Source organism: Homo sapiens, chromosome 15, assembly GCF_000001405.40.
Source record: "Homo sapiens chromosome 15, GRCh38.p14 Primary Assembly".
NCBI lineage: Eukaryota > Metazoa > Chordata > Mammalia > Primates > Hominidae > Homo > Homo sapiens.
In genome coordinates this window covers 65519506-65534776 of record NC_000015.10, presented here as the reverse complement: position 1 = coordinate 65534776, position 15271 = coordinate 65519506, and the positions used below count along the sequence as shown (strand labels likewise).

The window sequence follows — 15271 nt, the reverse complement described above, 5'->3', positions numbered from 1 at the left end:
CTGTCTGGATGAAGAGCGTCAGGTTCATAAAGGTTAAGTGAATCATGGTCACTAGAGCATAAGTGTAATAAGAACAAGGACCCAATCTCATGTGTTCAGTTAGCACTCTTTCCACCAGACTCTGTTAGGTAAGGACAGGAACAATATCTTTCAAACAGCTCTCAAACACAGCTACGCTCTGTTCTCTGCTCACAACACCCAAAACAAACAAGCACCTTGTAAATAAACCAATGCTTTAACAACTATGTTTCTCGGGACAAACACGTTCATTATGTTCATCGTGAAAGTAAATTCAATCTTGAAAGTAACCCTGCTTTAGCTGGCCTCTTTGCTACCGTTCACCTCAAGCACAGACGATGCCACTGCTGAAGTCTTTATTGTCCACCATTTCTCCTCACATCAGCCGTGTTCTCTCATAGTCACTAGCCCTGCAGCATCCAAGACAGAATAGAGATGTGATGACTGGACAGTTCCCTGTGTCAGGATGGAGGGAGACAGAGCCAATGCCTCCAAACTGGAACTTAACACTTTAAAACTCACACTTACACATAAGCTGTGGGTCATGCTATAGAAAGCAGAGAGTGTTAAAGTGCTGTCCAAGAACCCCACACCTAGCTTAATGATAGACAAGAGTAGGTACTCCATAAACGATTTTTACTGAACAAATAAATGAAGTGCTTCATCCAGAGCCAGAACCACTGGTTTCTTTTCTTTTTTTTTTTTTTTGAGACGGAGTCTCGCTCTGTCCCCCAGGCTGGAGTGCAGTGGCGCAGTCTCGGCTCACTGCAAGCTCCACCTCCCGGGTTCACGCCATTCTCCTGCCTCAGCCTCCTGGTAGCTGGGACTATAGGCGCCCGCCACCACGCCTGGCTAATTTTTTTGTATTTTTAGTAGAGACGAGGTTTCACCGTGTTAGCCAGGATGGTCTCGATCTCCTGACCTCATGATCCGCCCGTCTCGGCCTCCCATAGTGCTGGGATTACAGGCATGAGCCACCACACCCGGCTGCTTTTCTTTCTTTTTTTTTTTTTTAAATAACAAATCTGCACATGTAAAACCACTGGTTTCAACAGGCCCTGCATAGAGCAATCAGTTGAGAAAGAAAAAAAAAAGGCAACCCGTGACACTCCAGAAGCAGGCATAGCACTCACAGCCAGGCCATGTTATTCTCCTATGGGACATAAACAATCTCACAGAATACCAACCTCAGACAAGGTTACTCTGAAATCCTCATAAAATGAGACAAAGGCCATTTCACAATTTTGTTATAAGCACAGACAAATACATAGTGGCTATGCCACTCACGAAATACCAAACACCCTTTGGCCAAATTGAGTGACTGCTACTCCTGTAGCAATTACAGTTTTGTTCTTATACTAGTCTCCCTGCCCTACAGGTAAGATTTATTCAGATACCCAACCACGAAACTCCCATATTTTCTTACAGGATCTTATCTGAAGTGAAACCCAACCTCCTTAACCCTCCCCTCCCCTAATCACCAACACCCAAATCCTATAATCAGTTCTAACACCCTCCTAATGAAACACCCCAGGGTTCCCCATGGAGTATGCTCTCTCAATGCAATGAGTAATAAACCCAACTTGTTTAACTACGGGTGTGTTATTGGTGGCCTTTGGGCATTGACACGGCTTAAGTCAGAGATTACAAGTGTCTAAAAGTCTATGCCTTTCTCTTTCTGGAACATTCTCCCAGTCTTAGTTTGACAAAAATAATTCTCATTTCTGGAAGTCATCACTAACTAAATGAAAGAAAGGTAACAAATTCCTTTAACACCAGATACCTGGTTCAACATCCAACTCCAATTCTACCAATAAACATACTCCTACACAAAACTTTTTGTTTGTATATGATACGCCTCCTTCTAGATAGCATGCCCTTGAAAAGCTGGGTCTGACTCACCTTTGTAAATCTGTACTACCTTACATGTGTTAGAGGATTGCTAACACATGTAAACACTCTTTTATGAGGGTAACATCATGCTTTTAAACTAATGGTAGTTGAAATATGGGTGCCTCAAAACTACAGATGTGAAACCCCAGAGAAAACAAAAACTCAATAAGGGGGAAAAATGATTTATTTTTCCCCAAAAATTTTTAGATGGTTACTTTTTTTTTTTTTTTTTTGAGACAGAGTTTCACTCTTGTTGCCCAGGCTGGAGTGCAATGGCACCATCTCAGCTCACCGCAACCTCCGCCTCCCGGGTTCAAGCAATTCTCCTGCCTCAGCCTCCCGAGTAGCCAACATAGTGAATTACACGCATGCACCACCATGCCCGGCTAATTTTGTATTTTTAGTAGAGATGGGGTTTCTCCATGTTGGTCAGGCTGGTGTCGAACTCCTGACCTCAGGTGATCCTCCCGCCTCGGCCTCCCAAAGTGTTGGCATTACAGGCGTGAGCCACAGCACCTGGCCTGTTCCGTACTTTTTTATTGACTGCTGGAAGAACCCTCTCTAGACGGGGACTTTGATCCCCATCTACAAAAGATTTTGTTTGTTTTTTCCTATTCTATTAAACCACCGTGGAGCAGTAGAGGGAGACAGCACAGAACATTTACTCATACTCTGACCCAAAAGTATAGCCTCAGTCTGGATGAACACATTAAACGACACACCATGCAATGTCATAGCCTATTTAAAGGCATTCTGGCCACTACTGTCTTCATCTTTCAACAGGAAAACTGTTTATATTCCAGAAGCAAAGATTATATTAAATTCAATAAATTCAAGTCGACACTCAGAAAGCACCTACATTTTACCGGATCCACGGGTGATCCAAGCAGATGCCTGTTCAGAGGCAGAGAGAGTTAAATGGAGTGAAAGAGATGACAAAGTGCCATAGATGTTAAGGAGAAGTTTCCAATAAGAATGACTGTAGAAAGAACCTTCCAGAGGCTGGGCGCGGTGGCTCATGCCTGTAATCCCAGCACTTTGGGAGGCCGAGACGGGTGGATCACCTGAGGTCAGAAGTTCGAGACCAGCCTGGCCAACATGGTGAAACCCTGTCGCTACTAAAAATACAAAAATTAGCCGGGCATGGTGGCACGCGTCTATAATCCCAGCTACTCGGGAGGCTGAGGCAGGAGAATCCCTTGAACCCGGGAGGCAGAGGTTGCGGTGAGCCGAGATCGCGCCATTGCACTCCAGCCTGGGCGACAAGAGCGAAACACCGTCTCAAAAAAAAGAAAAGAAAAAAAAAGAAAGAAAGAAAGAAAGAACCTTCCAGAATGAAAATTCCAGTTTCTCAAAGCCCAGAATCTTTAGTTTGGACAGAGACATGAGGATACACAGGTCCTGGAGTCTCCACTACTACGTGCCTTCAGCTTGCTTACATTAAGGGCCAAGGAGCTCAAACAGAAATGCTTAATGTAACTTAAGAACTTTTTAAGTTCTCTGTGCAACTCAGCAAACCTGAGCTCACAACCTTCAGAACAGAGGGGGAAATCACTTCCTCCAGCTCTTGTGAATTTTAAAATTAAAAGTAATGAGAATGATTTCCATCACTGAACGGTTGCGAGGTGGGTGTGGCCCCCCACCCCTCCCCCTCCCCCACCTCCGGCAGCGCCCAGCCTCAGTAACGTCCGAGGGGCCTGGCTGGACCTCTCAGGCCAGCGGCAGGCATTCAGCTACGGCCCAGCAAGCCGCTGTCACAACCGCACCCCTGACCCAACAAGCTCATCCCACATCTCGAAGGGCCCCAGCCAACTCGAACCCCGACGGCCAGGCAGCCAGGGCCGGGCCTGGGCTCCATGAAGGCCGCCGACTGCGAACAAAGAAGAGGCCCGGGGTAGCCTGAGAGGCCCAGGCCGAGCTCTCTGGGGACCCGAAGGTTCCTGCAGCCCTCGGGGGGTTGTGCCCCCGGCCCGAGATCTGCAGATGAGCCTCGAAAAGCGCCAGCACGCCGTAAGCGCACCGCGTCGCCGACCTTGTTGGCGCACTGCAGGCTCTCCGGCGCGCACGCGGACAAAGGGGGCAGGGGTCCTGGCGGGTACCCGGAGCCGCGATCCCGCGCGCTTCCCGCCGCCCGACCCGGCCTTTACCTGTACGTCACTCAGCTCCACGCGCAGATATAGCTCGCGGTGTCGCTGAGCCCAGTAGACATGCGGCGTCAACACCTGATTCTCCATGGCCACACTGCCCAGGGCGCGGGGAGGCTAGGCTCGCTGCGCCTCGCTGCCTCAGGTAGTGCTCTGCTGGCGCGAGCAGAAAGCAGGCCTCAAACCCTAGCGCTCCTGAGCGCCTGCAACCCGGCACCTCGAGATACCCCACGCTCGCGGGCCGCGCCTGCGCAGTGACGCGCCGGGATGGCGGCGGCGCCAGCAGCGGGCCTTGGCGCGAGCCGGGCGGGGGCGGGGCGCAGGCGGGATAGGGGCAGGCCGGGGCACAGAGACGCCGCAGCTCGCCGCGGCCGCCTAGGGAATTGGAATCAGCGGGTGGTCTGCTCTCCCCACTCGTCTTCAGGGACATGCTTTAAAATAAGCTTTAAAATAAAAAAGGCTGGAGACTTATGGGGGACCGATCAGCCTGGAAAAGGGTTTGGGACTGGTGTCTCTGGACGGTCCTTCGCATTCTGTTTACTGAGTACCTACTGTGTGCCTGGGTTTCAAAGCTAAACACTGGAACAACAGAAGTGAGACACAGTCCCTTCTGTCTTAGAACTCCCAGCCTATTAAAAGATGCAAGTAATTACAGATGAAATGAGGATAATAATGGTGATAGGGGACATGGTGTGGGAGCAGCGTGGAAGAGCGTTCCAACAAGGGAAAATAAAGACCAGGGCAGCGCTGCCCAATAAAACTGTAGGTGATGATGGAAATATTGCACATTGCGCTCTTTAATACGGTAGCCACTAGCCACATGAGGCTTTTGAGTACTTGAACTGAATAACCGAATTTTCAATTTTACTCACTTCTGTTTTTTTTTTGTTGTTGTTGTTGTTTTGTTTTGAGACGGAGTTTCTCTCTTGTTGCCCAGGCTGGAGTGCAATGGCGCGATCTCGGCTCACCGCAACCTCTGTCTCCCGGGTTCAAGTGATTCTCCTGCCTCAGCCTCCCGAGTAGCTGGGATTACAGGCATGCGCCACCGGCTAATTTTGTATTTTTAGTAGAGACGAGGTTTCTCCATGTTGGTCAGGCTGGTCTCGAACTCCCGACCTCAGGTGATCCGCCCGCCTTGGCCTCCCAAAGTGCTGAGATTATAGGCGTGAGACACCGCGCCCGGCCAACTTTATTCACTTCTAATTTAAACTTAAATATCCATATTTTTGGTGGCTATTCTATTGGACAGTGCAGGAGACTGTCTCAAAAAAATAGGAAACTCAAACTAGAGACAACACTCATTTATGTCTTACTTAAGCTGTCTTGTCTGTATCGGGTTTCATCCCCAAGTTCTTCTGCAGAGAAGAATTTAATGGGAAGAAATATTTATATGAAAACTAGAACTCTGGGACAAAAATGGAACTCATATTCAATCCTGTTAGCTCCCATTTATTTAGCAAAGTGATTCTATTAGCACCCGTTTGTTTAGCAGAGGGATCTAACGCTGAAAACAAATTCTGCTAGCTCTCTGGAAACATTTAGCTCAAGAGTGGACAGAATAAAATATAGAGAGTTTTCATATAATGAATGTGCTGAGCTCACAAAGAGTTTATGATGATAGGAACTGAGGGCCGTGGGAACCATTGTCAGACATTTGAGAGCCAACCCTTGAGAACGGGATGGTGAAATGCGAGTAGGAATTTGACTGAGTAAGAACCAGGTAGGCCGTGGAAGCACAGGGCGCTTGCTTCGTTCACAGGTGAAAAGATGTGGACCAGGTGCAGCGTCTCACGCGTGTAATCCCAGCACTTTGGGAGGACGAGGCGGGAGGATCGCTGGAGCCCAGGAGTTTGAGACCAGCCTGGGAAAAATGGCAATACACTGTCTCTACAAAAAATACAACAGTTAGCAGGGCGTGGTTGGCGCGCCCCTGGGGTCCGAGCTACTCGGGAGGCTAGGGTGGGAGAATTGCTTAAGCCCAGGAGGCGAGATCGCGCCACTGCACTCCAGCTTGGGTGACAGTGTGAGGCCCTGTCTTAAAATTTAAAAAAGAGAGAGGGTTGTGGAAGGAGGTTCTGCTGCTAGGGATTAAAGGCATAGAGGAGAGAGGTCGCCCTGAATCTGGAAAGGCAGAGGGTGCATTAGGAAAGTCTTTGTTTGCTTCACTGAGGTGCCTATACTGTATCCCACAGACACATGGGAGCCAAGGAAGTTTGTTAACCTGGAGATTAGTAAAATCAAATGTGCTCAGCAAGAAAGACCTGTCAGAGAGGAGGAGGAATTGGTAGTAGGCAAAGCAATGGGAGACCAATGCAATCTGCCAAGAATGAGTTGATGAAAGCAGTGACGTTGACAGTCTTGAATTTTAACGATAAAATATTTTTTATGATAAAGGTATTTTATTGTATTGTGTTTACTACAATGCAGATGCAATATGGGGCACTTTTTAAAAACATTGAGATGTAGTTTACATATAGAACATGGGTAAATCTTAAATATTCAGTTTAAGCTGAATTTTTCTATATGTATATATCCATGTAATTATCACCTAGATCAAGATCTGGAATATTTCCAGTATCCCAGAGGTTATTTCATGTTAAAATATCTTTGCCTCTCAGTAATTACTATCCTGATATATCACCATAGAGTCTTTTTTGTCTGTTCTGTTCTTGAATTTTATATAAATGGAACCTACAGTGTCTGGTTTCTTTTTCTTTTTTCTTTTTTTTTTTTTTGAGACAGAGTCTTGCTCTGTCACCCAGGATGGAGTGCAGTGGTGCAGTCTCGGCTCACTGCAACCTCGGCCTCCCAATTCAAGCGATTCTCCTGCCTCAGCCTCCCAAGTAGCTGGGATTACAGCTGTCCGCCATCACGCCCAGCTAATTTTTGTATTTTTAGTAGAGACGGGGTTTCACCATGTTGGTCAGGATGGTCTCTAACTCCTGACCTCGTGATCTGCCTGCCTCAGCCTCCCAAAGTGCTGGGATTACAGGCATGAGCCACCGTGCCTGGCCCCTAATTTTTGTATTTTAGTAGATACGGGGTTTCACCATCTTGGCCAGGCTAGTCTTGAACTCCTGACCTCATGATCCACCCGCTTCAGCCTCCCAAAGTGCTGGGATTACAGATGTGAGCCACCGCACCGGGCCTTGGTTTCTTTCATCAACATAATGTGTATGAGATTTATCCATGTTGCTGAGTGAATCAGTAATTCATTCTTTTAGTTTTTGGTTTTGCTCTGTAGTAGTTGACTATATGAGTATACCACAAATTATTTATCCATTCTCCTATCGATGGATATTTGTGTTGTTTCTAGTTTTTAGCTATTACAAATAAAGCTGCTCTGAATATTTGTGTACCTGTCTTTTGGGGATAAATGCTCTTAATTATCTTGGAATAAATACCTATGAAGGGAATTGCTAGGTTACACAGGTGTATGATTAGCTTTAGTAGGTGTGCTAAGCAGTTTTACAAAGTGTTTTGGTCAATTTACATTCCACGGCAATGTTTGAAAGTTCTAGTTGCTCTATATCCCTAGTATTTTCAGACTTTTTAATTTAATTTTATTTTATTTTATTTTATTTTATTTTTTGAGAAAGAGTCTTGCTCTGTTGCCCAGGCTGGAGTGCATTGGCGCGATCTCAGCTCACTGCAACTTCTACCTCCGCAGTTCAAATGATTCTCCTACCTCAGCCTCCCAAGTAGCTGGGATTATAGGTGTGCACCACCACACCTGGCTAATTTTTTTATTTTTAGTAGAGATGGGGTTTCACCATGTTGGCCATGCTGGTCTCAAACTTCTAGGCTCAAATGGTCTCAAACTCCTGGGCTCAAGTGATCCTCCTGCTGCAGCCTCCCAGGCGTGAGCCACAGCACCCAGCCTAATTTTTTTTTTCCAGCACCACCCCCACCCCCAGCCAATGTTTTTAATTTTAGCCATCCTGGTAGGTGGGTAATAAAAAATAGAATAATTTTAATTCAGCGTATTTGAAACCTGAGGCTTATCAGCTGACTTCTACCAAGGTGAAAGCTATTGATATAGAAGAAGACTGAATGTTGGCATTTTGCCTCAGATGCTTCATAAGAAAGGTCCAGTGGAAGTGGGCCTATCCAGCCTGGTTTGACCACTAGTAACATACTGCAAAATGACTTCTTTAGGCCTGAGTTTCCACATTCATCAAATTAGGTAAATTTGATGAGTTGGATTTGGTTCCCTCTAATGCTCTTATCAGCTGTTTCTAAATTTTTCTGCAAAGAGACCCCACTATTATGGACCCCTCTCTGCAAGAGAAATCTAACAAGAAAAAAAATAGAAATGGAGAGAAGAAAGAGTATCATTCTGGTGAACTATAAAACTCCAGGGTGGGGCTGGACATGGTGGCTTATGCTGTAATCCCAATGCTTTGGGAGGCTGAGGTGGGAGGATCGCTTGAGTTTAAGAGTTCGAGACCAGCCTGGGCAAAACAGTGAGACCCCATCTCTATAAAAAATTTTAAAAATTAGCCAGGTACGGTGGCATGTGCCTGTAGTCCTAGCTACTAAGGAGGCTGGGAGGATCTCTTAAGCTTGGAAGGTCAGAGATGCAGTGAACTGTGATGGCACCGATGCACTCCAGCCTGGACAACAGAGCAAAACCTTGTCTCAAAAAAAAAAAAGCAAACCAAAATACGCTGGAAGGTGGCAGGGGAGATTAAAAGGCAGAGCCAAGTGGCAGTGCCAAGCTGAAATAGGTAGGGCTAAGAGTTTTATGATACTATCGGTCAAATGAAAATGCAAATTTAGCCTTGTCTTTTTGTCCTACCTTCTAGATGCAGCCTTCCCAGCCTCATTTGGCCAAGGGCCAGCTCTCCCTTCTCAGAGAATAGTCACCACTAACTACAGGAAGCATTTGCTGAGTACTTGCCATGGATTAAGCTCATTCCCAGGGCTGAAGGCTGATTTCCTGCCTTTGGCAAGGGGTCATACACATCCTTGTTGTTATCTATGTATAAAATCTTCTATTCTGGAAGAGGTTTTAGAAAATGAGCTGTAGAATTTGGCTGGATTCAAACCACCCAGGGTCACCCAGCCAGTTATCCCTGAGCAAAGTCAGGTTTCTCTAGATGGTACAAAGCTAAGTGTGGAGAGGGAGACTGACTGGATCAGTGCAGGTATCTAATGGGGAATCCTCCACAGCCAGATCATACACATGTAGCCTCCCAACTCTGCCTGGAGAATGGGTATTGTAGGCCATCTTTACTGGGAAAACCTTCCCCTCTACCTGTCAATCCACAGTTCAGAAGTGTGAACTAAAAATGAAATCCTAAGCCTCACAATTGACTGAGCAGACCCCTTCTTGGCCAAGGGGACACCAGAAAAACCTTAAAAACTGAGTTCCAGGTCATGACGGGATGGGAGGTCACATATGCCTCCTTATACCCCCTCCCTTTTGCGGTTGAGACACAACAACTGACCAGCATTAATGTGAAAATAGAGAGCATAAGACTGATGGAACAACAACAAAAAATAATAAAAAATAATGTGTTTAAAGACTGATGGAACGGACTCTTTGTGGCAATATGATACCAAATTATAAATAAGACCTAAAGCCATGCTAGGCAAGAGTTAAGTCACACACCCCTACACTTAAAGAATAAACCATGTTTAACTGCCACAAGGTTTTTCTTTCTCTAGCAGCTAAACAAGCACTAGCCTTAAGATAATCAATATTAAAATTTCTAGCTTACCCCTCACCAGACACTGGCCAACTGACCCCTTGTTCCACAAGCCATAACTATAGCTTTGATTGGACAAGAGACTTATTTCAGTAACCTTCTGCTGATAAGAAGACTATCAACCACGGACGAGTTCTGTCTAGTTTACAGAGGCTGTACATTTGAGTGCCTTTGTGTCCTGAAAAGACCTTTTGACATATAGGTCAAATTGTAATACATTTAAGTGTTAAGTCTCCACTGCAAGGTGAACATGGGTCATATGTAACATACATGTTTCTTCAATATTCGTGCTTCAGGACCACCTTCATGAATATTCATACCTCCTCCTATAACCTGTTGCATATGTATGTTTAGCCAATCTATTCAGCATAAAGCTCCTGTCCCACCCCTTCATCCTTCAAAGTACCTGACTCTGGTCTTTACGAGAGGCTACACTTCCCAGCCTATCAGCACGGTCACCTTACAAGCTGTAACCCTTTATAGAAAATAAAGTCTCATTTTCTTTTCTTTTTTTTCTTTTTTTTTTTTTTTGACAGAATTTCACTCTCGTTGCTCAACACTCAGGCTGGAGTGCAATGGCGCAATCTCGGCTCACTGCAACCTCCGCCTCCCAGGTTCAAGTGATTCTTCTGCCTCAGCCTTCAGGAGTAGCTGGATTACAGGTGCGTGCCACCATGCCCAGCGAATTTTTGGTTTTGTTTTATGTTTTTTGAGACTGAGTCTTGCTTTGTCACCAGGCTGGAGTGCAGTGGCACAATATCGGCTCACTGCAACCTCCGCCTCCTGGGTTCAAGCGATTCTCGTGCCTCAGCCTCCCAAGTAGCTGGGATTACAGGCACATGCCACCACACCCAGCTAATTTTTGTATTTTCAGTAGAGACTGGGTTTCACCATGTTGGCCAGGATGGTCTCAATCTCCTGACCTCGTGATCCGCCCATTTTGGCCTCCCAAAGTGCTGGGATTACAGGCATGAGCCACTGCGCCCAGCTAATTTTTGTATTTTTAGTAGAGACGGGGTTTCACCACATTGGCCAGGATGGTCTCCATCTCTTGACTTCGTGATCCACCCGCCTCGGCCCCCCAAAGTGCTGGGATTACAGGCGTGAGCCACTGTGCCCAGCCCAATTTTTTGTATTTTTAGTAGAGATGGGGTTTCACCGTGTTGGCCAGGCTGGTCTCGAACTCCTGACCTCAGGTGATCCAACTGCTTCAGCCTCCCAAAGGCTGGGACTACAGCCACCGTGCCCGGCCTTAATTTTTTTCTATTTTTAGTAGAGACAGAGTTTCACCATGTTGGCCAGGCTGGTCTCAAACTCCTGACTTCTAGTAATCTGCCTGCCTCAGCCTTCCAAAGTGCTGGGATTAGAAGTGTGAGTCACTGCACCTGGCTTGATGGTTTTAAAAAACAGGAGTTTAGATGGGCACGGTGGCTCATGCCTGTAATTCCAGCACTTTGGGAGGCCGAGGCAGGTGGATCACGAGGTCAGGAGATTGAGACCATCCTGGCTAACACGGTGAAACCCCGTCTCTACTAAAAATACAAAAAATTAGCCAGGCATGGTGGCGGGCGCCTGTAGTCCCAGCTACTCAGGAGGCTGAGGCAGGAGAATGGCGTGAACCCAGGAACCAGAGCTTGCAGTGAGCTGAGATTGCACCACTGCACTCCAGCTTGGGTGACAAAGCGAGACTCCGTCTCAAAAAACAAAGCAAAACAAAAAAAAAAAACAAAAAAAAAAAACCACACACACAGGAGTTTCTCTGCAGAAGCTTTTTTTTTTTTTTTCGGTCTGCCACAATCCACGTAAGATGTGACTTGCTCTTCCTTGCCTTCTGCCATGATTGTGAGGCCTCCCCAGCCATGTGGAACTGTAAGTCCAATTAAACCTCTTTCATTTGTAAATTGCCCAGTTTCAGCTATGTCTTTATCAGCAACATGAAAATGGACTAATACAACTCCCATCTCTACAAAAATTTAAAAATTAGCCAGGTGTGTTGGTGCATGCCTGTAGTTCCAGCTACTCAGGAGGTTCCGGCCAGAGGATTACTTGAGCCCAGTTCAAGGCTGTAGTGAGCTATGATCATACCACTGTACTCTAGCCTGGGCAATGGTGCAAGACTTTGTTTCAAAATAAATTAAGTACATAAATAAAAACTTAAATATGAAAAAGAAAATCAGAGGGAAAGACTTTTTTTCTTTTCTTTTCTTTCTTTCCTTTTCTTTTTTTTTTTTTTTTTTTGAGACAGAGTCTTGCTCTGTCACCCAGATTAGTGGTGTGATCACAGCTCACTGCAGCCATGACCTCCAGGGCTCAAGTGATCCTTCCGAGGAGCTGGGACTACAGATGCCGCCACCACGCCAGGCTAATTTCTGTGCTTTTCTTTCTTTTCTTTTTTTTTTTTGAGACGGAGTTTCGCTCTCATTTCCCAGGCTGGATTCCAATAGTGCAATCTCAGCTCACTGTGACCTCTGCCTCCCGGGTTCAAGCAATTCTCTTGCCTCAGACTCCCAAGTAGCTGAGATTACAGGCATGGGCCACCATACCTGGCTAATTTTTTTGTATTTAGTAGAAATGGGGTTTCACCATGTTGGTCAGGCTGGTCTCAAACTCTTGACCTCAGGTGATCTACCCGCCTCAGCCTCCCAGAGTGCTGGGATTACAGGCCTGAGCCACTGTGCCCAGCCAATTTTTGTGCTTTTTGTAGAGACAGGGTCTCACTACTTTTCTTTTTTTTTTTTAGACGGAGTTTCGCTCTTGTTGCCCAGGCTGGAGTGCAATGGTGCGATCTCGGCTCACCACAACCTCCGCCTCCGGGGTTCAAGCGATTCTCCTGTCTCAGCCTCCCAAGTAGCTGGAATTACAGGCATGTGCCACCACCCCTGGCTGATTTTTGTATTTTCAGTAGAGACAGGGTTTCATCATTTTGGTCAGGCTGGTCTCGAACTCCCAACCTCAGGTGATCCGCCTGCCTTGGCCTCCCAAAGTGCTGGGATTACAGGCGTGAGCCACCATGCCCGGTGAGTCTCACTACTTTTCCCAGGCTGGTTTCGAACTCCTGGGCTCAAGCCATCCTTCTGCCTCAGTCTCCCAAAGGGCTGGAACCGCAGGCATGAGCCACTGTGCCCGCCTTCTTTTTTTCTTATTACAGTTTGGTTTGAACTACACCCTGAAAAGGGGGAAAGTATGGGGGGAAGTGGAAAAAGAAACTGTAGACCCACCATATCCTATAATCAATGGCTGTTAGTGTATGTACTACATGCTTATGATCTTTTTTCTCACCGAGATTATAAACCTCAATAGAGCACAGATTACCTCCTTTTGGTATCCTGTAGTATCTAACACAATGTGCTTCAGAAAGTAGATGTTTAAAACATATTTGTTGATGATAATACCCACTGCTAGATACAGATGGTTTTGCATCACCCCGGCCGTGCTATCTCATCACACCTCATGTGCTAGATAACTTGTCTTTTCCTGATGGGTCCCTAGAGTGCAGGGCAAAGAAAGCCAGCTAGGGTTTGTCAACCACACAAACAAGACTTGGCAAGGCCACGGCCTGACCGATTCAGCCAGTAAAGATACATTGAGCCACTTTTATTTTTTATTTTTTTGAGATGGAGTCTCACTCTTTCGCCCAGGCCAGACTGCAGTGGCGCTATCTCGGCTCACTGCAAGCTCCGCCTCGCGGGTTCACGCCATTCTCCTGCCTCAGCCTCCCAAGTAGCTGGGACTACAGGTGCCCGCCACCACGCCCGGCTAATTTTTTGTATTTTTGGTAGAGATGGGGTTTCACCGTGTTAGCCAAGATGGTCTAGATCTCCTGATCTCGTGATCTGCCCGCCTCGGCCTCCCAAAGTGCTGGGATTACAGGCGTGAGCCACTGTGCCCGGCCAAGCCACTTTTAGATTCAGGTAGTTTATTACTTACATACAGTGCAAAAGGAAAAATGCACAATGGTGATAGATGCTTGTGATCCTTGTCTCATACATCAAAAACGACAATACAGTTGACTCTGTATCTGTGGGTTCTACATCTGGGATTCAACCTACCTCGGGTCAAAAGTATTTAGAAAAAAACTGATATAAAAAAATAATAGGCTGGACACGGTGGCTCTCACCTGTAATCCCAGCACTTTGGGAGGCCGAGGCAGGTGGATCACATGAGGTCAGGAGTTCAAGACCAGCCTGGCCAACATGGTGAAACCCCATCTCTACTAAAAATACAAAAATTAGCCAGGTGTGGTGGCAGATGCCTGTAATCCCAGCTACTCAGGAGGCTGAGGCAGGAGAATTGCTTGAACCCGGAGGTGGACGTGGCAGTGGGCCGAGATCGCGCCACTGAACTCCAGCCTGGCAACAGAGCGAGACTCTGTCTCAAAGGAAACAAACAATACAAAAAATTAGCCAGGCATGGTGGTGGGTGCCTGTAATTCCAGCTTCTCAGGAGGCTGAGGCAGGAGAATTGCTTGAACCCAGGAGGCAGGAGTTGCAGTGAGCCAAGGTTGCACCACTGCACTCCAGCCTGGGCGACACAGCGAGACTTTGTCTCAATTAAAAAAAAAAAAAGTCAGCCAGGCGCAGTGACTCACAGCTATAATCCCAGCATTTTGGGAAGTGAGGTGGGTAGATCGCTTGAGGTCAGGAGTTTGAGACCAGCCTGGCCAATGTGGTGAAACCCCGTCTCTACTAAAAATACAAAAATTAGCTGGGCGTGGTGGCACACGCCTGTAATTCCAGCTACTTGGGAGACTGAGGTGGTTGCAGTGAGCTGAACTAAGATCACACCACTGCACTCCAGAGCCTGGGTGACACAGTGAGACTGTCACCAAAGAAAAAAAAAGTAATATATGAGAGGAGGATGTGCATAGGTTACATGCAAATACTATGCCATTTGATATCAGGGACTTGAGTACCGCTGATTTTAATATCTGCCAGGAATCCTGAAACCAATCCCCTGCAGATACCAAGGGACAACTGTACTGAAACAAAAGGGGCCAGATGACTGCAACGTGAGTTGCGAGATACCCTGTTGAACGGGAGCCAATTCTAGACTGCGGCCAGATGATTTTGTATTCAGCAGTGCTATTCTGAGGGAGTGGGGAGAAAGCCCCACACCTCATCAGAAACTGTGAGGAGAGGAGAAGCTGTCTCCTGACTGCCTCCCCGAGGAGGTTGCCTCCAGGTCCCTATCAGCCTCCTGTTTTCTTCTATTCTAGGAACATCACACAGCATTCTGCTAAGAGTCAGAGATCCCTGGATTCAAGCCTACGCCTATGATGCATGCAAGGTGGCCAGCGTTCCACGGTGGAGATGTTCCTCTACAGCTTTCTCAGGGTTTGAAAATAAGAATAAAAATCAAGAACTCTGGCCGGGCGCGGTGGCTCACGCCTGTAATCCCAGCACTTTGGGAGGCCGAGGCGGGCAGATCACGAAGTCAGGAGATCAAGACCATCCTGGCTAACGTGGTAAAACCCCGTTTCTACTAAAAAAAATACAAAAAATT

General features: G+C 46.7%; 1 protein-coding gene across 2 annotated transcripts in view, besides 2 other annotated features; it reads right to left on the bottom strand.

Moving 5' to 3' along the window:
* HACD3 (3-hydroxyacyl-CoA dehydratase 3) overlaps nucleotides 1-4314 on the bottom strand; it is a 47887-nt gene extending 43573 nt beyond the window's left edge. Inside the window, exon 1 of one of the 2 annotated variants that reach the window (NM_016395.4) lies at nucleotides 4059-4314. In NM_016395.4, the coding sequence (NP_057479.2) occupies nucleotides 4059-4145 (87 nt within the window). In that variant the 5' untranslated portion in view covers nucleotides 4146-4314. Of the gene's footprint in view, nucleotides 1-3943; nucleotides 3984-4058 lie in introns of those variants that run through there. The other variant, NM_001411136.1, reaches the window with a different exon arrangement.
* Nucleotides 4232-4451: a silencer, noted in NCBI's record as "silent region_6556". NCBI's record gives its function as "represses an Ori minimal core promoter by ATAC-STARR-seq in GM12878 lymphoblastoid cells {active_cell/tissue: GM12878}" and the evidence as "EXISTENCE:reporter gene assay evidence [ECO:0000049][PMID:35858748]".
* Nucleotides 5490-5990: an enhancer, noted in NCBI's record as "H3K4me1 hESC enhancer chr15:65821125-65821625 (GRCh37/hg19 assembly coordinates)". NCBI's record gives its function as "activates a minimal SCP1, AML or CMV promoter by ChIP-STARR-seq in primed H9 embryonic stem cells {active_cell/tissue: H9 hESC(primed)}" and the evidence as "EXISTENCE:reporter gene assay evidence [ECO:0000049][PMID:30033119]".